A 23,317-nucleotide genomic window follows, 5' to 3' on the forward strand; every position below is an offset into this window, starting at 1 on the left:
AGCCACCGCGCCCGGCCCCAAAAACAATTTTAATACCAAAAAAATCTAAACTTGGAGACACTTTCATAGATTTAAATGGCTCCATTATTTGTCTTCATAATGTCACAATCTGTCTCTTTGCAGTGATACAGAGACCCTTCTAGTTGGTGGGAGTTGTGACCATAGAGGATGTCTGGGTTGTAGAGAGAGCTGGGAACAAGCCACTCTAGGGATTCACTACCCAGCAGCCCTGTATATGAGTGATGTCCACTCATACTTACTCAGTTAGTGAACATGTGTTTTCAAGCCACAGTCCCAGAATATTTTGATATCTGAGGGAACGGGGGAAGCCCATCATTCTTTTTCCTTAGATATATCTTTCCATCCACAATTACCATGTCTCCACTATTGCAGTTTGCATTTATTTTAATAAGGCAATGCTAACCGCTCCAATTTGTCTTCATTCCACTTATCAAATACCATGTCCTAGGCTTTGCCAAGAGATGATTTTCCTATTGACAGACTTACCTGTAGAAAAGATGAACACCGTGTTGTTCCAGAGCCCACTGCTTTTTAAAGCTGCAGTGACATTTCCTACTGCTTCATCCATAAGGGACACCATTCCTGCATAGTGATGCCTGTTCTTGTCTTGGATAAAGTCATATGGCTTCAAGTATTCCTCAGGGACCTGAAGGGGCTCATGCACAGACTGGAGAGCAAGGTAGAGAAACAGAGGCTGGAAAGAAAGTTTGTGCAAACCAGTTAAGAGGATATTGAAGCATTAAATATAGAAGGATAAGACAGTTCAGATTTATGCATTAATAAAAATAATATCAAGACAACCTACAGAATGCATTGAAAGTATTTGTGAATCACATGTATGATAAGGGACTCATCTCCAGAATATATAAAGAACCCTTACAACTCAATGATAACTCAACTACAAAATGGGCAAAGAATCTGAATAGCAATTTCTCCAAAGAGGATACACAAAAGGCAATAAACACATGTAAAGACAGTCAACATCATCAGTCATTATTAAGATGCAAATTAAAACCACAATGAGGTAACACTTCACATCTGTTAGGATGGTGATAATTTAAAAATGGAAAAGAACAAGTATTGGTGAGGATATGGAGAAATTGGAACTGTCATTCATTACTAGCAGGAATGTAAAATGGCACACATAGCCACTTTGAAGAAACATTTTGGCAGTTCCTGAAATTGTAAAACATAGAGTTACCATATGACCCAGCATTTCCATTCCTAGAGAAATCAAAGCATACATCCACCCAAAAACTTCCATGAATATTCACTGCAACATTATTCATAATAGCCAAAGAGTAGAAACAACCCAAACATCTATCAATTGATGAATGGATAAACAAAATATGGTATATTTTCAGCAACATATGGCAATAAATGAAATAAAGTATTGATACATACTACAACATAGATAAACCTTGAAAACATTATACTAAGTGAAATCAGTCAATCGTAAAAGTCCTCATATTATGTAATTTCATTTATATGAAATTCCAGAAATATAGGCAAATCTATAGAGACAGAGGGTGGTTGCCTGGGGCTGTAGGAAATTGTGGGGGAGAGGAATGGTGAGTGATTGCTAACAGATACAAGGTTTTTTTGGGGGGATGATGAACATGTTTTAAACTTAGATTGTGGTATGGTTGCATAACTGAAAATTTACTATTGAACTGTATACTTTAAATGAGTGAATTTTATGATATGTAAATTTTGTTTCAATAAAGATATTAAAAAATATAACAAAAGACACAAGACAAAAAATTGAAAATAAAAGCCAGAGTCCCAGAACGGCCTCAATGGACCTAATCCAAACAAATAATAATATCAGTAATGGCAACCACATATTAAATGTTGTCTACATACTAGACAGTATGATAATAATTTACACATTCTATCTCATTTAATGAAACCACCCTATGTTACAGCAATTTTACAGATGAGTTAACTGAGGCTTAGAAAGGTTATATGTGTGACTTGTCCAACTCCACATTAACCGAAGAGCAATTTCCTATTGGAAAACCCACTATTACGATATGGATGTGTACCAATAGAGGCTTTAGCTTTTTGCTTTAGCTGAAAATAAGCCCTCATCTTTTAGAAGAGGTTTAGTATTTTTAAACTATATTTTATGAGAAAAAAAGTGAACACCATGCCTTGTTAGTCTTTGATGCAGGACCAAACATAAGACCAGTTTAATTCCTGAAACTAAGAAGTATGACACACTGATTCTATTTTACCACTTACATCAATTTGCAACATTTAACATTAGTGGCATACCAGGTCAGCTTCTCCTTTTTAATGAGCCTTTCTGAAGGCATTCTCTTCATAGTGCTACAGAATTCTTTAATGAGTTGAAAAGCCTCAAAGAGACAACAACTAGTTTAACCCAAAAATAAACGTATAATTCTGTTAAAGTATTTGAGGCATTTAAATCTCATAAATGAATGAAAATGGTTAGAAACAGACTTTGGTGGGGGGGTGGTGCTCATATTTCATTCTTCATTGTTGACAAGTTGTTTTAAATTTTATATTACACATCCTTGTAATGCAAAAAGGAGTATCCATACATAGAGCTCAAATAGACCCCCCAAAAGTTTATTTATTGTTCAGGTCTTTGGAACTCAGAAATACGTTTTCCCTAAACTCACAAAGTTAAAAATAGCTGCTAAATGTCAAAGTCGTTGCTTTAAAACCTATTAAACTAAGGACGCAGCTGATGGAGTGAAAATGATGATAATGTAGAACCCGTACTTCCATTATTTCCATGGGAAAACATTCCAAATTCCCACTCCAAAAGTCTATTCTATAACCTCTGACACCATTTCAGTTCTGCCTCTGCTTCCACTCGACACACATACACCTTCTACTCCAGCTGCATGGTCATGCTGAAGCGTCTATGTTCGTGTAGACCATGGTGCAGGACATCCCAACAGATGCCCTGCCTGGGGGTGATGAAGGTCTTGGCTGCGATGTCTGGAGGGAAGAACGTGCAGGTGCATCGCTGACCTGACAGTGCAGTATGGGTCTGCTCTGGGTACTGCTATCTGGGTCTTCAGCACTAGACTGAGCCAACTCCAGCCACCAGCCAAGGTCCAGATGGGGATAGGATTAAAAATCGGAAGTCTACAACAATTTGCAGCCCACGTAAAGTTTTAAAAAAAATCAGGAAATATCACATCGATCTGTTTTTATATAAAAAAACTTTTTTGGAAAAATCAGAATTTCTGACTACTCTTTGTCCACACTCCATCTGGTAACAAAAGGCTGGAGTATGAGAAACAGGGGCCCCATCCCCCTCAAATGCTATCCAATTTTCTAGTTTCCCACTGTTCTACATAAACTGCTTCACTTCTTTAGGTTAGCAGCCTGGCCCTTGCAAACACGAGATTTTGTGACTCTGATCTGGACTCTTAACAGTGGCAGGGGGCAGGGGATACAGTGGGGAGAGAGGGGGCCCACAGCTTAAGGAGAAGATGTTCTCATCCAGGTCATTAGCAGCAACATGGCAACCACCTGGCGAAGGAGAGAAAGGAGAAAGAGGGTAGGTGATTCCCAGCCAGCAATTGATTACTAAAGGCAATGGCTGGGAAGGCGGACAGGGGAGTTCTTGAACAATGACCAGGGAAAAAAAGATTTGGGGATCATTATTAAAGGTTCTTATAAATATTCAGTATAGAAATCATTCTACTCACTTTGTTAAATATGGTGAAAAATAATCTGAAAATCTTTCCTATAATTATTCCTTAGTAGCTAAAGACATTACCATCACTTTTATAAAAGAATATAAATTTTCAGGACCCTCTAAATTATGCCAAGGGGAAAATTAAGTCCTGGAGACTGTGTCACGTAGCATGTTTGCAACTTCTGTTTCTTAGATTATAGAGTAACTCTCTTCCTTATTGTTCTTCTTCTGTAAATAACTAGGAAAGACCAGAGACCAGGACTCCTCCCCTTCTTATTGAAGATCTTTGTTATAGATTAACCACCTCCTTTATTGTCCTGTACCTAACTCAGACCAGATGACCCAAAAAACACCATGACTGTTACATCTTCAGTGTGGAATGTTAAACATACCTTTCCCAAAAGAAAACCACCACCTTGACTAATCAGATCATTGTAATTATGCATTAAGCCTTGTACAGAAAGATGTTGAAATTCTTTTAAGCTCCCCTAAATTTTGTCTATGTAAGTGATATGGTTTGGCTGTGTCCCCACCCAAATTTCATCTTTAATTGTAGTTCCCATAATCCCCATGTGTCAGGGGAGGGACCCAGTGGGAGTTAATGGAATCATGGGGGTGGTTACCCCCATACTGTTCTCTTGACAGTGAATAAGTTCTCACAAGGTCTGCTGGTTTTATAAGGCGCTTTTCCCCCTTTGCTTGGCACTTCTCTCTCCTGCTGCCACGTGAAGAAAGACTTGTTTGCTTCCCCTTCCACACCATTGTAAGTTTCCTGAGGCCTCCCCAGCCATGTGGAACTGAGTCAATTAAACCTCTTTCCTTTATAAATTACCCAGTCTCAGGCAGCTTTTTTTTTTTTCCTGCAAAAACCCTCAGCTCACTGGAGGGCCAGTGGAACTCAGGCAGTTCTTTATAACAGCGTGAGAATGGACTAATACAGTAAGAAATCCCAAACTTCTACACTTTGAAACACGGACTTCCATTCTTTGGAATCTGTGCTTCCCAAGAGGCCATCCTTAAACTCTGTACTTGAATAAACTCTCTTTAAACTAGATTCTGATCCTTTTGATTATTTTAAGTTGACACTCTTGAGGGGTTAAAAATAAGAAACTATACCAGTCCATGTCGGTACTATAGCCCATTTCAAGAGGTCAGGACTGATGCACATTTTAGATATTTCCATCCCATACTACAAAAAATAAAGTTTCAACACTCAGAAGGTGAACTTTATTCATGAAATATTATAACTCATTCCCCAACAGTAGTAAATGTGAAATATTTCTATACTATTTTTAAATTGAAAAAAGAGAAAGAGTAGTGTTTTTAATACTATATGGTAGCCTAGTGGAATGAATTAACTAGGACTCCAAGGTTCTCCAATCACAGTGAGGACCCCACCTGCAGCCACTATTCCTAGGACCCTGCCTGTGAACAGCTGTGGTCAATTTTCCCACTCCTGCCAACCAGAGCTCGGCTCACTGTCAGCCTAAAGCCAGCAGCTGCCATCACTGGAGCCTGATCTCTCCCCTGCTTTTTCTTAGGTCCAGATCCCTGTTCTCATCAACTGTCACAGTTACTGCCTTAGCTCCAACCCTACCTGTAACCCTTTCCAGTGTCTTGGGAATGTGAAATGAAATCCTAGGCATGAAATCATTACTAAATATCTAAGTATTACATAAAAGCAAGACATTATCACCTAGAGCTATTAGCATATTCATGTTTGAGATATTGGGGGTTCTTTTCCCTTTATTTATGCTACATGGTTCCTAAGATATATACTGTAAATATCCTCACCATGCTAAGAAAACTTATTTCAGTGAGGAAGAAAGTCTTATTTTCATTTCTTTAGTGTATTCTCCTAATTTAAAGTATAAATGAAAAAAAAAGCATATGATAGGTTTTGAAATTGTTTTTCTTTGACTTCTAAATTAAGACATTCTTTTCCAAATTGTGTCACAGAAAAGTAAGAGTCTTCCACTAGAAATTAACATTTTCTTTAAGAAGCTTCTAGTAGATCAGGTGTATAACATTACATTTGCTTCCATTCTGCAAAGTGCTGACATGGGGGTGTTTTTTTGTTTGTTTTTCTTGAGATGGAGTCTTGCTCTGTCACCCAGGCTGGAGTTCAGTGGCACGAGCTTGGCTCACTGCAACTCTTCCTCCCGGGTTCAAGCGATTCTCCTGCCTCAGCCTCCTGACTAGCTGGGATTACAGGTGCATGCCACCAGGCCTGGCTAATTTTTGTATTTTTAGTAGAGATGGGGTTTAACTATGTTGGTCAGGGTGGTCTCAAACTCCTAACCTCACAATCCACCCGCCTCGGCCTCCCAAAGTGCTGGGATTACAGGTGTGGGCCAGTGCACCCGGCTGACGGGGGGCTGTTTTTAAAAGAAAGATATTTTATGAATATGTTACTTTCAGTCTGTAGTGTCACTAGTATGGGGAATTATCCTGCTGAAAAAGAGAAAGAAGGTTCCTTCTTAACATATGTGAAATGGTAATTAGCAGTACCTTCCTGAGTCCAGCATCAGCAACTGTGTTTCAGTTATGAACTGCCTCCAAATGCTTTTTTCCTCTTAAGTGCTTTTTAAAATAGGCACAATTTTAAGTTAGCCTGTGGATTCTTCATGTGGCTTTCTTTAATGATTTTTATCTTAGAACAAGTTCCTTATGCTACAATCTATATATAGTACCTGAGAAATTAGCCCAGAATTAGATTCAACATCGGGATAAAATCGTGAAAAGCTCAGCTCCTCAAACTGGTGAGTTGCATCATTTTATACAGAATTGAAAATGTAAACATGTATTAGCTGTCTTAAACATTCTTGGGTTACAGCTTGACTATTGATTATTTCATTCACTTATGTCTATGACTGAAACTTTCCTTTGAAGATACTGGGAATGCTGGATACTGCTATAGCATGTTTCAGACACAATAGGAAAATGACCATCCTCTCATCTGGCAATTTCCAAACAGTTACCTACGAACAGCGGCTATGGTAATAACACTCCTTCCATGGCTAGCAAGCTTTTAGGGCCTCCTATTGTCCTCAGTTCCGTGTTTTCCCCACCACCCTAGTTAAGAGAGCCCACCCACAAAGATCTATTATTTCACTCCAGTTGCTTCCTCTTATCTGCTTAATGTTATGGAACCCTGTGAGGGAATATTCCATCGTTCTTCAGTAGGAATGAATTTGTATTGTGGGCAGATTACAGTTGTTGCACAGATTAAGGTATGGCAGATTGTGAACCTGTAATAGGTAGCTGGCTTCTGCTTGCCTCTCCATATTTGAGAGGAATGCCCTGAATGACCCATCCGAGAATGGCTGTCACTGCACCAGGTGTCAGTGATGACTGCACATTAGAATCACTGGTAGGAGCCCAGGAGGAGGAATAATGAAACACCAATGATTGGGTCCCACCTCAGACCAATGAATCACAATATTTGGCATCAGTATTTCTTATAAGTTTCCCAGATGATTCTAATATATGGTCAGGACTGAAATCATTAAGGTGAATCATGAGCTGGGACTCAGAATCTCTGGTCTTGGATATTAGCTGTGAACTAGGGAGGCTGATTAAGTACATGAGGTCTGGAGTCAGAGAGCATGAGTTTAAATTCTGATTCTGACTCTCAATAGCTCTGTGACCTTGAACAAGTTACTTAACTTCTCTAAGCCAGTTTGCTTATGTGTAAAATGGTGGCTCCCTCAAAGAATAATACACAGTTCTCTTAAGACTTTACCTTGTTAAGTGTTAAGGTGCATCCATAAAATGTCAAATATGTAGAAGAAAACTGAGGATTTAAGCCAATTACCTAGCAACTATTTTTCCAATTATCTGAATATTTGTTTAGATTTAAATTTAAAATCTGTGTATTTCCACATATTTGAGAGAATGTTCCCATTTCTTCGTGTTCCACAGAAAGCATGGTTGCTTCAAGATATCAGCATAGGAGAGTGATCGCCAAAAGTGGGACGCAGCTGAGGACAGACACCTCTATCTGTGTTTTCACTTCTACATGTGCTCGATTTTTTTTTTTTTTTTTTTTTGAGACGGAGTCTTGCTCTGTCGCCCAGGCTGGAGTGTAGTGGTGCGATCTCGGCTCACTGCAAGCTCCGCCTCCCGGGTTCACGCCATTCTCCTGCCTCAACCTCCAGAGTAGCTGGACTACAGGCACCCACCACTGCACCCGGCTAATTTTTTTTGTATTTTTAGTAGAGACGGGGTTTCTATTATTTTTTAATGAATGTCAGGAGTTGTATAACATTTGATAGTGTAAATATAATTTGAAGTTCGAGGTAAAGTTGTCTTCTGAAAGATTTTACCTTAGCTTGTGGAAGTCAAATAAGGATGCCAGCAATCTGGCATTTAACTCATTCAGGGAAGATTTCCAATACTGAGTTCAAACAGGCAGAAACTGGAAGGGGAACCAGCAGCCACATACCAAGTCCAAACAGGTATGTAAACCAGAATCCACACGGTGATCTTCTTATAGTTTAGATATTTGACCCTCCTCCAAACCTCATGTTTAAATTTGATCCCCAGTGGGAGCCTAATGGCAGCTGTCTGGGTCATGGAGGTGGATCCCTCACGAATGGCTTCATGCCATCTTTGCAGTTATAAGTTCTCACTGTATTAGTTCCTGAGAGGGCTGGTTGTTAGAAAGAGCCTGGCATCTCTCTCTCTCTCCTCTCCTGCCATGTGATCTGCACACGCCAGCTCAACTTCACCTTCCATTATGACTGGAAGCTTCCTGAAGCCCTTACCCAGAAGCAAATGCTGGTGCCATGCTTCTTGTAGAGTCTGCAGCACCACGAGCCAAATAAACCTCTTTTCTTTATAAATTACCCAGCCTCAGCTATTCCTTTATAGCAACACAAACAGACTAAGACAGACCTGCACCAAGGACCTTCAGGCATTGTCAAAGAGGCAAAGTGCAGGAAATTGGAAGAACCAGGGAGCACTGCATATTCTATAATTTGTTGTGTCAGGGTCCCACTGAAGTATTATTTTTATGGGTGTTCTTAATGAAGCCATATTTTGAGCCCAGTGTCTGACAATACAAATATTTGTTCCCATTTCAAAAGCATTTATAAGCTAAATCCAGAGAACTTAGCTTAAACTTTACCTCATGAAGTTAACTCTAGGTTAACAAAATAATCATAATAATAAGATTATTCATGTGTTACACAAAAGCATCAGTATAGTAAATGTGAAAAATAAGCTCATTGGTATACCAGGTATATGGATTAGAAGACCCAATATTGTTAAGACATCCATTCTCCCCAAGTTGTTCTATAGTTTCAAATATAAATCCAAGCAGACACTTTGGGCAGGGGGGAGCTGGCATATAGAAATTGACTAGATGATTCTAAAATTAACATGGAAATGCAAAAGATCTAGAATAGCAAAATATTCTTGTAGGGAGGAAGTACAAGGTTAGAGGAACTGCCCTGATCCCAAAATTTATGGATCCCTTAACCAAAAGTTTGTCATAATAAAGCCTCACCTTACACCTAAGCCAATCATTTTTTAAGTCATTTTATTAATTACTCACAGCACATGCACGTAATATACCAAAATTTTTAAACTATATTTCTATTGAAATACTACCAACATAGTATTCCTCAAAGTGTGATCTGGGGACCACTCTTAAGAATCACCTTTTAAGAGTTTCTCTAAAATGCTGATGTACGGATTTCTCCCACGCCTAATAAATCACACCCTAGAGGTGGGCTCCAGGAATCTTCCTTTTTAACAAGCTTCCCAGGCTGATTCTGGGATACTGTATAATTTGAAAAGGACTTCCCTAGAATTTATTAGATTTTTCCCTAAACAACAATGGCCTTTTCCTACATTTGTCTGAAAAGACATTAGTGTAACAAGATTTTGCTATCAGTAAATAGAAGCAAAACTTACCTTCTCTGGTGGATGGTTAGTTATGAGGGCTATAGCCCTTTTGGTGAATATGTTTGTTGAATACATATTTTTATATCCTGTTGCAACTTCTTCGCCATCTCGAAAATCAAGAGCACATCGTGTGACATTCAGAGCGTCAATTAATGTACAGCGTTCATGGGAATAATAATCTTCACTACCCAGGAGATATCCTGCAAGAATGGAAGACGAAAATAGTCAGCATAGCATAAAACTTGTTAAACAAACTAATGTTTCAGCATTTAATTGCCTAATGCAATTGATTACCCGTGACGAGGCTAATCAAATGACAAGGCTAATCAGCACCATTTCTCAACATGTCTATATCTGGTGGCAGAAGGCATTAAAACATTACTGCATAAAAACTCAAATCTATTCCTCATTCGCCTTTAGAATATAGGCGCTATCATGTAACACTAACAGTTTTTTTTTTTATCAGAGTTGAAACTCAGTAAGGGTGATAAAATCTCAATCCTTCAAAGCTATATAATGGTAAAAATAATGTACAGTTAATGTGACTTGTTACAGGTTTTTACTCTAAGGTGATCACATAAATGAGTGCAGGATTCAAACAATGTTTGTTGTTACTGATGTTGCGAGACTGGCTTCAAGGTTATTTACAGAAGTGGTTCTAGGAAGAGTCATCTTTAGTCAGATGCTGACACCCACTGGTGAAAGATACAAACCTTTCCTAATAGAGGATCTCTAGACATAACAGAGCCAACAGATCAAACTAAAGTGAGCACTGAAATAAGACTTTTCTACCTAAAATGATCTCAATTTCACCCCAGATTTAAATGGCATCAACGGCCTATCCCATAATTTAGACTTCACATGGAAGAAAATGGGTTTTCTCAAATATAGTTGTTTCTGCAAATGTTCCATCTTTTCTATATTTTAAAATATTATATTTCTATATTTTAAAGTATTAAAATAAGCTGTGCTACGTATGATTCCACTTGTATTAAATGCCCACAACATGTAAATCTATAGAGACAGAAAATAGATTAGTGGCTGCCTAGGGCTGGAGGGACTAGGGGGAAATGGGGAGTGATTGCTGAGGTGGATGAGTTTCTTTTTTGGGGATGATAAAAATGTTCTACAATTGGATTGCCATGATAGTGGCACAACCTTCTGAATTTATTAAAAATCATTGAATTGTACACTTTAATTGGGTGAATTGTATGATATGTGAATTATACTTTGATAAAGTTATTAAAAAGAAATATTTGCTAGACTCTTAGCTATCTCCTGACATATACTGCTTATTAACCTTAAAATGAGGATGATAAAATTGACCTAGCTCTTTCTTCAGTCCTGAACTTTCCCTATAATGAAAATTAAGAGCTTTACATAGTTTATATAATAAATCAATTCATTTTAAATTAAATTCTCCTTTTCTATGACTCAATAAATTCAAGATCTTGAATACAATTAATACTTTGGTCTTAAAATAACTTTTATATGGCAATCTTTTCTCCTATGTATATAATGGAAAACGAAATACAAAGTACTTGTTAATTAATGTGTAACAGAGAAAGAAATGTATCCATAAAAATAATTTCAGCCCTTACATGGGTGATTAGAATGTCAGAACACTGGAGGTCTATTTAAGGTTTTTAATAACTACTGGGCATTAAAGCTTGAGGAAATCACTTCAGGTTCTTTAACTGTTAAGTGTGAGCTGCTTTCTATCAGTTAGCAGAATATAGGACAGATACACTTCATTAGCAAAGGCATGAACTACAAATATTTAAAAGATAATACAGATAGGAGAATTCCAGAAATAAAACTATTCACATACTTGGCAAAACTAATACCAAGCAACCATGTGACAATCACATGAAGCTTTTCTTCATAATAATGATTCACAAATTTGAACTTCAATACTGAGCCTAAAGATGATGGCAGCCTATGCTTTTGGGGGAAAAAAATAGAAAATGCTTCTTGAACAACCAAATCTTCTCTGATGCTTTATGTACCAGCTGCATTGAGATATAATTCACATACCACACAAGTCACTCATTTAAAGTGTAAAAGACATTGGTTTCTAGTGTATTCACAGGCTTGTGCAACTATCCCACCATCACCTGATTTTTAGCAAAAGAGCTGAGATGTAACAGTGAGAAGAGCTGTGTGGTCATCATAACCTTCTTGGCTGCAAGTCTCCCTTCAAATGAATTTGGGGTGTGTGTTCATCTAAATCCAGGTTAGGCTTCTTAATTCTCATAAAAGGATATCATTTCTACCTTCTGTCCAGCTGAATTTTTAAGTACCTAACTTGGTTTTAATAAACAATTCAAAATATCTACAGCCCATCCTCTTCCCAGAGTATAGATATTGACTCATCTTTTAGCAAAGGCCTGATTGAAAAATTTCTAAGGATGTACAGGCTGTTTGCTCCTCTAGAATTTCCAAGATGACAAAGTGATCTTACATCAAGTCTAATTTTAACAGCTATTTGAGGTACTGAGAATACATCCGGGTCCATTTAAAAAAAAAAAAAAAAAAGCTAAGATTGAGTAGTGAGGTCTGCTGGTGGACCTGGATGAGAGTGGGGCACACACACCCTCCTGTCTGACATCCTTGCATCTTGATTTTAACCCTGAATCCAATGAGGCATTACAGAGCCATGTGCTTCAGCTGCATTGTTTTGGCCCCCATATAATTACTTTTACTGAATTGCACTTTGGTGCTCTGGCCCTAGCTTGAACAGAAGAAAATACCTCAAAACATCTACAAGAAAACCACCTAACGTATTATTAAAATGACATTTTTAAAGATGTTGTCCACCTTACCTTCTCCTTCTCCCAAAGGAGAAATTTCTGTCAGGCCTAAGAGCCAGAAAATGCTTTTGCTTTTCCTGAACATCTGGTTTCCATTTATCTTGTAAATAATGTAACTCTTATAGTCTTTTCCTTTCTTTCTCCCTCTTCGGACAAATAAATTTCAAATCTCAGGCTGGGCGCGGTGGCTCACACCTGTAATCCCAGCACTTTGGGAGGCCAAGATGGGTGGGTCACGAGGTCAGGAGTTCGAGACCAGCCTGACCAACATGGTGAAACCCTATCTCTACTAAAAATATAAAAATTAGCTGAGCGTGGTGGCACACACCTATAATCCCAGCTACTCAGGAGGCTGAGGCAGGAGAACTGCTTGAACCCGGGAGGCGGAGGTTGCAGTGAGCCGAGATCATGACACAGCACTCCAGCCTGGGCAACAGAGCGAGACTCCGTATATAAAAAAAAAAAAAAAAGAAATTTCAAATATCAGAGATGAATATGAAGACAGCCTAGAGCCATGCAACTTTTCTGTAATTTGATGCCATTAACCTATTCCATCTTTTTCTACTCATCCTGATTATTTAATCCTGTTTAAACTTTCTATGTTCAATATGTGTTCCTTTTTGGCTACGGAGGGTTGTAAATAAATAAATGAACAGATGGGAGGTAGGTAGGTAGCTAAATAGCTAAACAGATAGCTCACTATAAAAAGAACTTGAAAGAAAGATATATAGCTACTGGCAAGATACACAGGTTATTAATTCAGGCACAGGTTATTACAGGTTTAAAGAGGGCATATTTTAAAACAAACTCTAGGTTTCACATTTAGTTTCATAGGGCTATCAAGTTTATAAAATACTTATTATTATTTCTTATTATCCTTCTTATTACCATTTATTTGGCCTCCTCATTTTCCTTTGTTTTTTAAAACCTATCTTCCCCAACTTTGTGATTGCAAAAACAGATTTCACAGGTGGAAGAATGCCAATGGAAGAGTCTTCCCCCACCCCCTTCAAAAAAAAAGGAAAAATTGTGAATACATTCCACAGGGAGAAAAAAACACACCAAACCTTTGTGAAGGAAATATTCATTTTTTATTTTATTATTATTATTATTATTATTATTATTATTATTATTATTATTATTTTTGAGACAGAGTCTTGCTCTGTTGCCCAGGCTAGAGTGCAGTGGCATGATCTCGGCTCACTGCAAGCTCCACCTCCTGGGTTCATGCCCATTCTCCTGCCTCAGCCTCCTGAGTAGCTGGGACTATGGGCAAGTGCCACCATGCCCGGTTAATTTTTTTGTATTTTTAGTAGAGACAGAGTTTCACCGTGTTAGTCAGGATGGTCTCCATCTCCTGACCTCGTGATCCGCCTGCTTCGGCCTCCCAAAGTGCTGGGATTACAGGCGTGAGCCACCGCACCCAGCCTGGAAATATTCTTACATTAGGTTTTGCCAGGCATTAAAAAAATAAAAAATCAATCCATATCCCTTTTTGGTAATAAGGGTCTCTGAGAGTACAGCGGTCTCCAACGTGGATAGTAAACTCTTGCAAGGCCCTAAGGTGGCATTTAGAACTCCAACAAAGGTAATGGGTTTGCCCACCATAAGGTCAGCACAGAGCCCTGTTTACAGAGGTAACATTAGAAAGCAGCCCCATTACAGTGCCGACTGATTCACTCTGTGTTCAAATATCCAGTTCTTTCATTTGATTGCACTTGGGTGTGTTTTATGAGATGGCTGCAGTTAGTCTAAGTTGTTAAAGAAACATGTGCATTTCCATTACCAAAGTAGGTATCAAATCCTCGGCGGGTTGGAAGGCATTCTTTCCGGTACATTCCCAGGTGCCATTTTCCGACCATATGGGTAGTATAACCTGCTTCTTTTAGGAGCTGGGGCAGGAGTTTTTCATCCAGAGGAACACAGCTGGGCTGACAGGGCCAGATTATTTGGTGCTGTAAACCTGTACGGATCTTACAGAGATAAACATAAAATTATAGATTAATGACATTGAAATATTGTGAACAAGCAGATAAAATGGCCTTCTACCTTACTGATCATATCTGTTGACTTGGATGTTTAACTCTATTCCTGTACTGGCTTGAGGATATTTCTGAAAGGCAGAATTCTCTTATTCAAATGAAGTAGTGGACATAAACAGGATTTGAAAGACAAATAAAACCATTCCAACGAACAGATATTTTCAATATTTATCAAGGCACTATGTTAGAAACCATTAACTTGTTACTTTTTGCCTCAAAAAAAGTAGCAATAATATGTGGTGTGAATCTAACAAGAAAAAAGCGTTCCAATTTTGGGCACACAAGAAGTTGGTGTTTGATTAGAAGACACTTCTGTAATCTTCGAAAACTTGGTGATTTTTTTACAAGTGGTTTTGTTTTTGTTTTTGTTTTGAGATGGAGTTTCACTCTTGTTGCCCAGGCTGGAGTGCAATGGCGCAATCTTGGCTCATTGCAACCTCCACCTCCCAGGTTCAAGTGATTCTCCTGCCTCAGCCTCCTGAGTAGCTGGGATTACAGGCGCCCACCACCATACCTAACTAATTTATTTGTATTTTTAGTAGAGACGGGGTTTCACCATGTTGGCCAGGCTGGTCTCGAACTCCTGACCTCAGGTGATCTGCCTGCCTTGGCCTCCCAATGTGTTGGGATTACAGGCTTAAGCCACCGTGCCTGGCTGAGTTATTTAACAGTATAATAAAACGATTATTGCATTTTTTATTCTACTTTATGTAAATCATTATCTCAAAAGAGAGTGTTCAACTTTTTCTTATAAAAAGCGGCCATCTGACTGCTGCTTGGGAGTGGCTCACACAAGTATGCCCAGGGCATAAGGTCCATACAGCAACTAAACTTTAAGCAATGACCACTTCTTAACTTTTGGTGTAATATTGAGTAGAATACCCACAATTATATGAAAAGGATATTAAAATAGCCCTCCCTTTTCCAACTACACATCTTTGTGGGGCCAGATTTTTCTTCAACTTTTACTAAAAATAATATATCATAACAGGTTAAATGCAGAAGCAGATACAACAACCTAGCAAACTTCTATTAGTAGAAAAGATGTACAAAAAATATAAAACAATGCCATTCTTCTCACTTAACTATTTGGTTTTGAAAAATAGAGCTTTTTTCATAAGTTATTTATGTTAATATAGTGGGTTTATTACTATTTTTCATTGAATAAAAAAATTTATAATTTGTTTTAACTTATGGGGCAAATTTTGAATGGTAACAACCCATTTAAATCTATGCTCCCTGGGGTCCTCAATAATTTTTAAGCAAGTGCAAAACCCTAAGACCAAAAAGTTTGAGAACTGATACTCTAATGTCCAACAGTGATCATTGCCATGAGGAAAAGTAAAGAAGGAGAGGGAGACAGTGACAGAGGTGGCACTTGTGATAGAGTGGCAAAAGAAAGCTTCTCTGGGCCAGGCGGGGTGGCTTATCCCTACAATCCCAACACTTTGGGAGGCTAAGGCAGGAGGCTAGCTTGACTCCAGGAATTCCAGACCAGCCTGGGCAACATGCCATGATCTCATCTCTACTAAAAATAAAAATAGAAAAAATTAGCAAGGCATGGTGGCCTGTGCCTGTAGTCCCAGCTACCAAGGAGACTGAGGTGGGAGGATCACTTGAGCCTGGGAGGTCGAGGCTGCAGTGAGCTGTGATCATACCACTGCACTGCACTCCAGCCTGGGCAACAGAGCAAGACCCTGTCTCAAAAAGAGAAAGAAAGAAAGAAACCTTTTCTGAAGAGGAGATATTTGAGCAGTGACCAGAATAAAGTGAGGCAGTGAGACTTGGAGAAATCCGGGGTAAGAGCAATCCAGACCTAAGGAATAAAAACTTCAAAGGCCCTGAGACCTGAGCTTACTAGACAAGTTCAAAAGGCCCGCCCAGAACCCAGTTTGGCCCTGTCACAGCTCTTGTGCTGGTGGGTGCCACTGTAGCCCCTGCTGCGGCATGACAGGGTATCCCTCCTTGTCTACCCAGTCCCACCCTTCCCTAAAACTTAACACCTCCTGCCTCCTTGTCCTGGCTTAGCCAGGGAGATGCTCTTCTTTGTAGAAAGTGGGACTGGGGTCTCAAATTCAACTCTGCACCAGACACCAGCCTTCCCCAGCCCTGGGAGCTCTTGATTTATAGAATAAACAGGCTCTGGGGACACAGGAGGTAAGAGTGCCAGTTCTCAACCCAGGCCACGGCTGGTCCCTTCATCAGCTATAAGGTGGAGAGCAAGAAACTTGTTGCTAACAAATGATTTTTATAAGTGTTTGTGAGTATTTTATTTGCCTTATAATTTAAAGTGGAATAGCATAAGGCTCAGAGGATTAAATCCCATCCTGGCTTTATCACTTATGAGCTTTGTAACCCCGGGCAGTAACTTCATTCAGTAACTCACTAACTTCAATAACTTTAGTAAGTTAGGAATTGCACCTGCTATTGCTTTACTGCATGATCTCTTTCCACATCCTCCTAAAAGAACCACATGGAATATCTTAAGTGTTAAGTTAAAGTGGGTTTATCTTGAGGATGATAGTTAAGTTCACTATCTTGATGTGGTGATGGTTTCACAGGTATATACCTATCAAAGTTTATCGAATTGTATACTTGAAGTGTGTACAGTTCATTGTATGTCAATCATATCTCAATAAAACTGTTTAAAAATAAAAGTGAGTTTAAGTTTCCTACTGAGATTGTTATGCCTCTCCTAGAAATAATTAGACACCTATCTACATTGGGAGATGTGTCAGATACCTTCTGTTTGCCCTTCAAATCCACGCTGCTTTCTCAGTCCTGCTCTCTGCCCTAGGAGGCTGACCTATGAGGATCAAGTCAAAGGACACTTGTCTTCAGGTTTCTGATTGGGCTTAGCCAATGGGGAGCCCTGGCAGGAGTGAGAGGGAAAGAGGAGAGTGCATGGCCTCACCTGACACGCTGCTTAGCCTGGCTACATGAGTCTCTCTACCAAAGGTCACTCTGGAAGCAGACTTCTTTCTCTATCTGCCTCTCTCCTTCTAGGTTCTGGTAATTGGCCCTTCCTTTCTTCTCTTCTGGTCTAGGAGTAGTAACAGCTCCACTGGATTACTACACTATCCCTAGCATTTTGCCCCACACATTCACACCTTTTAAAATGGTCCCTTTGTAAATAAACCCTCCCTAATTTGAATGTGCCACCTCTTTCCAGCTGGGACCCTGAATGATAAGGATGTTATAATATCCAGGCTGGGAAAGGGAAGCATTCCTCTTAGCACATTTGCACGCATACGTACACACACACACACACACACACACACACCCCAAATCAAAGTATTCTTTCCATGGTTAACTCTGGAAGCTTACTGAAGAGAAAATTGACCCTAGGACTCAAAAACTTCATAGCATATAGTATGCTAATTGGCAACCAGGCAGGATAAGTAAAGATAATATTTTATGGAATCCAAAAGCCCCAGTGGAGATAAATGCTCTGCGAAAATTCCCTTAAATGGAAAGCTCATCCATCACATGCAGAGAATTAATTCTGATTGCTAGAAAGCACTGCCAAGAGATGTTGTGTGATTTGGTTTTCCTAAGCCGTGGGCACCAAGCCAGGTGGTCAGCTGAAGCCTTCCTCCATTACTGACAATCATATGGAGCAGGGAATGTGTTCTTTTCAGTTCCTGAGAATTTATTTGACAGAGCATTTTTATGGCATTATTGGGAAGCAGAAGCCAAACCCTGGATGACATCCAAAAACATGTTTTCGGTCTGTTCAAACACTATCTGAAGGAAGGAAGCTGTAATGTGTAGAGAAGCAGTAAACAGGCAAATGCCGAACTGGTTCCAACCCAGCACTTCAGCACAGAACTACAGAGCCACGCCATGCTGCAAGGGGCAGGAAGGCAACCGGGCACCAATAGGAATCAAAAGAAAAAAATAAGGGTGCCCTGATAAACACAACAGAATATAAAACAATTTCATTCTAACACCCATCTGCAATGTCCAAAGAAGTGTGTGTGAATGGAGAAGGTTCTACATGTAATATACGAAAGTCCAAGGGGTTACTTCCCTATCTACCATGTGTGGCTGTCTCCTCTTCATTAAACCAAATCTTCTCTCAAAAAACAACTTCTCCTAAGATTTTACTTGACCATCAAAAATCCTCTCCACAAAGGCAAAAGGTCTGCAAATCCAGTGGAGGACCTGGCTTGTTCTAGGCTCTTTCTGTGACATAACTGAGAGATCCTTATTTACATATTGGTTGCACGTAACAATTTATTTGGTCCAGTGTGTTATTCTGTCTTCTGCACACCTAGGAGTTCCTTGCAGTATAGTCTCATGAGCTTAAAGGAGAAAATCCAATCTCTTGCTGGGGGAGAGGAAGATGGCAGCTCCCATATCAGAATCTCTTTCAACTCCCCTTTCAGAGGTCCAGACAGTCAATTGATTAGTTATCTATATGGGAGTTCAGAGCACAATATTTCAGCTACACTCAAACTCTCCCAAGAGCGAAGCAAACCACTGCTGCACAGAAGGCGATAGATGCTCTTTCTCTCCTCACCTCAACAGTGTTGAGATAATATCCCGTTGAACAGAAGGGAGGTTCTGTCCAGTCAGTCTGGTCTGAGCAAAATGAACTCATATCCTCATGTGCCCACATATGTGTGCAATACCTCCTGCTGCAGTACTTAAAAATTCAGAAAAATGGGCCACTCTACCCCTCCACCTTATACACCAGAGAGCCTATGGGAAGCTTCATGATCAGAACGCAATCACAGAACATGCTGGTGGCAAAGCAGGAGTTCAGAATTTCTAGCCTGTGCCTCGGCCAGTACACAGCAGGTTTTAATCACGGTCAAGTAACACTTGTGCCACCTTAGGGTTTATTCCTGGAGATGCCCAAAGAACAAATGGATAGTGGAAAATCTGCTCCCTCCCCACAGAAGCCATCTGAAAAGCAGTCAGCTGCCCATGCTGCTGAAGCCAAGAGCCTACAGACACGCATTATGTGTGCTAGGGGCCTGGCTTTGCCATCTGGCTTGGCCCTTCAGGACTCGGGCTGCAGAACTGGCCCGTGTCACTGACAGTTTTAAGAGTCTATTTATTTTGGTGTTGATTAGTGAAGAGTGCAAATCTCTGACTAAACCCACAAAGGGATGTTGTTTGTAAAAAAGAATAAACAAGTCAGAAAGGGTTTCAGTGCCTCCCTCTGTTTAAATTATAATTCCAAAGAAAGCCCAAATGGAAAAGGAAGGAAAATATGAAGAAAGCTGAGGGAAAGGAATCTCTCAAAAGGTGATATGATTAAGGAAACGCAAACAAAAGATAATGACCAGAGAGCAACAGCTTATGCTCAAAGTGATTCCTGAAATGACAAACCTCGTAAATCAAGCAACCAGAAAATCCTCTAACTCCACTGGTCATATTCCACTTAGCTCCAAACTTATTTCCTTATTTCCTCATTTGCAATTTCCTGGCAGGTAAAAGATATAAAATCTGGAATTGTTTCTTTAAAATAGCTGCAATGTTTGCAGAATGAGGCCTCCGCACTCCCCTTCCCTCCTGGGAAAATGTCTCTTGGATTTGGCTAGGCTTAGGAAGGACACCTGGCTTTAGCAAACCCATGAAAGTCACCCCAGGGCTCTGCTGTGCTTTAGTGAGGCCATCTTGCTTGTCCCTATGGAGCTAATGCATCCTTTGTTTCTCCCCCTAAAGGAGCACAGAAATAAAGACACTGTTTTCTCTTAGGAGGCACCCATGGTCTCAAGGCTACATGGTCCTCTGACAGCTCCCTCCTCCTGTGCCTTTGCCAGGGGATCCTAGGAGCGCCCACCTTGAGACATGCACTTTCCCCAATCCCTGCACCCTGTAAACATTTCTTCCAGCTCTGCACTCTCCTGTGCCCCACTTCTGAACCTCAAAGTCCAGGGAGAGGCGACCACTGGCAGGAGTCCACTGAGAGGCCAGCAGGCGAGGAGCAGGCAGGACAGTGAGGGCGAGGAGGACAAGAAGCAGGAAAGGGAGGGCATGCTCAGGCAGAGCGCCTGCACCACCATGCCCTCTTCTGCCTGCAGCATGCATCTTTCCTGCTCACCTTCTTGAAGCAAACTTGAAGCAAAAGTCAAAAATTACCCACGATGCTCCAGCACAGCCTCCTTCCTATATTTCCTGTCCAAGGTTCCGCCTCAGGGGTGAGTGAAAAGCCGTGAAAATGTCTTGTCCATTTATCAGTGTGATTAAGAAAAATGTGGTTTGGATCCCTTAAGAATGAAACCTTGGAGTCATCTTTCATTGCTTCTATTCTGTGCCAAGGTTTATGGAGTTCTGGTGGAGTGGCCCCCTTGGTACCCAAGGTAAGGACATTCCCAGTTGAGGACCAGAGTTACTTTTCTTAACTATTTTCCCAGAAGAGTGTTTTCCTTTAAGGCCTATCACTTTCTTACTCTTTAATCTTTTCAATTTCTTAAAAAAGAAGTAAAGGCATTAGAAATGACATGGCAATTTCAAGCAGTTTAATTAAGATGGTGAGCTCTTTCACGAACTGTGTAAAAGTGCTTCTCACATTTGATCATTTAATTGTCCAACACTGAGTGCTTCTTTAGCCCAGAGACAGACAAGGCAATCTAATGGAGAAGTCAGACCTCAGAACCACTTATCACAATTAAAATATGTATTAGGAATAACAAAGGTATAATGAATATTTTGTATAGAATAAAGTCAATTTGTAAGAATATGGAAAATTAGTAATATTAAGTTTTCTATTTGAACTAAATGCAGTACACAAATTCTATTAGAAAAGCTGGAGAATTTTTAAATTAATATTTTTAATCTTGAGGTTTTAAACAAGGGAAAAATAAATATAAAATCGATTTTCTCATATGCATAACATGCCTCCAAGCGATATCAAGAAACCAATAAACAGGAGCTGCCTATGGGAAGGAGGGTGGGGAGACAGGCTGAAAAGATCCTCATCTACATGTTTATATTTTTTACATCTTTTATATTTGAAGGTTTTGAATGTATTTCCTGGAGATGATTTTAAAAACAGGCTACTTTTTTTTTTTTTTTTTTTTTTTTTTGAGACAGAGTCTCACTCTGTCACCTGGACTGGAGTGCAGTGGCACCATCCTGGCTCACTGCAAACTCTGCCTCCCCAGGCTCAAGCGATTTCCCGCCATCTACCCCCCTGCCCCCGGGTCTCAACCTCAGTCTCCTGTGTAGCTGGGACTACAGGCGCTTACCACCACACTTGGTTAATTTTTTAACTTTTTATAGAGATGGAATTTCACCGAGGCTGCTCTCGAACTCCTGGACTCCAGTGATCCACCCACCTAGGCCTCCCAAATTGCTGGGATTACAGGCATGAGCCACTGCGCCCAGCCAAGCTTATTTCTTTTAAAGAAAAAGAGAGAATATGTACAATTAATTCTAATTGGAATTACATGCATCCAAAGAATGCCACATGGCACTTGACTGTATTTCCTTAAAATATGCCCATTTAGAACACTGTTAGATTCGAAATGTTCTTTAGTGTATAATAGCCTCAATGTCACCTTACTATAAAAACTGACACAAAAAAAGTTCAAGTTTTAACACTTTTTAATGGGTGGGCAGCATTAAACCCAGGGAGACCCAGCCTCCCTCCTCTAGCTCTTGGCCTGCCTCTGGCACCCTCATTCACTCAGCTACCATCTCATTCTTACAACAAGCTCGTTCCAGCCTCAAGAGCTTTGCTTCTGTTGCTCCTTCCTCCACGTTAAACTTTGCTAGGATATGTGCATGGCTGACTCCCTTCATTCAGGCCTCTGCTCATACTACCTCCTTGAAGACACCTTCCTGAGTCAAGATCACTTGACCTACTTTATTTTCTTCTCCACATGTATTGTCATGCTATTTAAATTCACCTTACTTGTTTGTATTTCTTTCTTTCCCCACTTCCCCCCCGCGAGATGGAGTCTTGCTCTGTTGCTCAGGCTGGAGTGCAGTGGCGCAATCTCGGCTCACTGCAATCTCCGTCTCCCGGGTTCAAGCAATTCTCCCGCCTCAGCCTCATGAGTAGCTGGGATTACAGGTGCGCACCATCATACCTGGCTAATTTTTGTATTTTTAGTAGAGACAGGGTTTCACCATGTTGGCCAGGCTGGTCTCAAACTCCTGACCTCAGGTGATCCGCCTGCCTCGGCCTCCCAAAGTGCTGGGATTACAGACGTGAGCCACCACGCCTGGCCTGTTTGTATTTATTTCACTTCCCTCTTGGTTACTCCTTCTCCTTACCTCACCCCCTTCAGATTATAAGCACCAAGAGATTCCCAGAGTACAGTGGCGTAACTTGCTGCTCAGTAAACATTTGTTGAATGAAAGAATGAATGAATATATCACACTTAATGGTGATCGACTGAAAGCTTCCCCTCTAAGATTGGAAACAAGACAAGTATGTCCACTCATGCCACTTCTACTCAATATTGCACTGGAGGTCCTATCCAGGGTAATTAGGCAAGACAATGAAATAAAAGGTATCTAGATTAGAAAGGAGGAAGTAAAACTTCTTCTACTTGCAGATGACATGATCTTGCACTAAAAAACTCTAAAGATTATACACACACACACAATTAGGGCTAACAAGTTCATTAAGGTTGCAAAATGATCAATGTACATATATCAGTTGCATTTCTATGTAACAGCAATGAACTACTGAAAATAAAATTAAGAAAGGAAGTCCATTTACAATACCACTGAAAATAGTAAAACAGGAATAAATTTAACCAAAGCACAATGCTTACACACTAAAAATTATAAAATATTGTTGAAAGAAATTAAAGAAGACCTAAATAGGCTGGGTGTGGTGGCTCACGTCTATAATCCCAACACTTTGGGAGGCC

General features: G+C 40.0%; 1 protein-coding gene across 10 annotated transcripts in view, besides 2 other annotated features; it reads right to left on the minus strand.

Annotated features, from left to right (window-relative positions):
• The window catches only part of ARSB (arylsulfatase B), a 208,750-nt gene that overhangs the window by 177,579 nt on the left and 7,854 nt on the right, over positions 1-23,317 (minus strand). For all 10 annotated transcript variants that reach the window (XR_001742066.3, XR_001742065.3, XM_011543390.2 and 7 more), the window contains 3 exons: positions 14,219-14,405; positions 9,629-9,819; positions 508-715 (listed from right to left, as the gene is read on the minus strand). Coding sequence is in view for 8 of the 10 variants with exons in the window: in XM_011543390.2 (XP_011541692.1) it covers positions 508-715; positions 9,629-9,819; positions 14,219-14,405 (586 nt within the window). In the remaining 2 variants the exon portion in view is untranslated. The remainder of the gene's footprint in view (positions 1-507; positions 716-9,628; positions 9,820-14,218; positions 14,406-23,317) is intronic.
• Positions 19,846-20,365: an enhancer, noted in NCBI's record as "H3K27ac-H3K4me1 hESC enhancer chr5:78270456-78270975 (GRCh37/hg19 assembly coordinates)". NCBI's record gives its function as "activates a minimal SCP1, AML or CMV promoter by ChIP-STARR-seq in primed H9 embryonic stem cells {active_cell/tissue: H9 hESC(primed)}" and the evidence as "EXISTENCE:reporter gene assay evidence [ECO:0000049][PMID:30033119]".
• Positions 20,366-20,884: an enhancer, noted in NCBI's record as "H3K27ac-H3K4me1 hESC enhancer chr5:78270976-78271494 (GRCh37/hg19 assembly coordinates)". NCBI's record gives its function as "activates a minimal SCP1, AML or CMV promoter by ChIP-STARR-seq in primed H9 embryonic stem cells {active_cell/tissue: H9 hESC(primed)}" and the evidence as "EXISTENCE:reporter gene assay evidence [ECO:0000049][PMID:30033119]".

Source organism: Homo sapiens, chromosome 5 (genome assembly GCF_000001405.40).
Source record: "Homo sapiens chromosome 5, GRCh38.p14 Primary Assembly".
In the NCBI taxonomy this organism is placed as follows: Eukaryota; Metazoa; Chordata; class Mammalia; order Primates; family Hominidae; genus Homo; species Homo sapiens.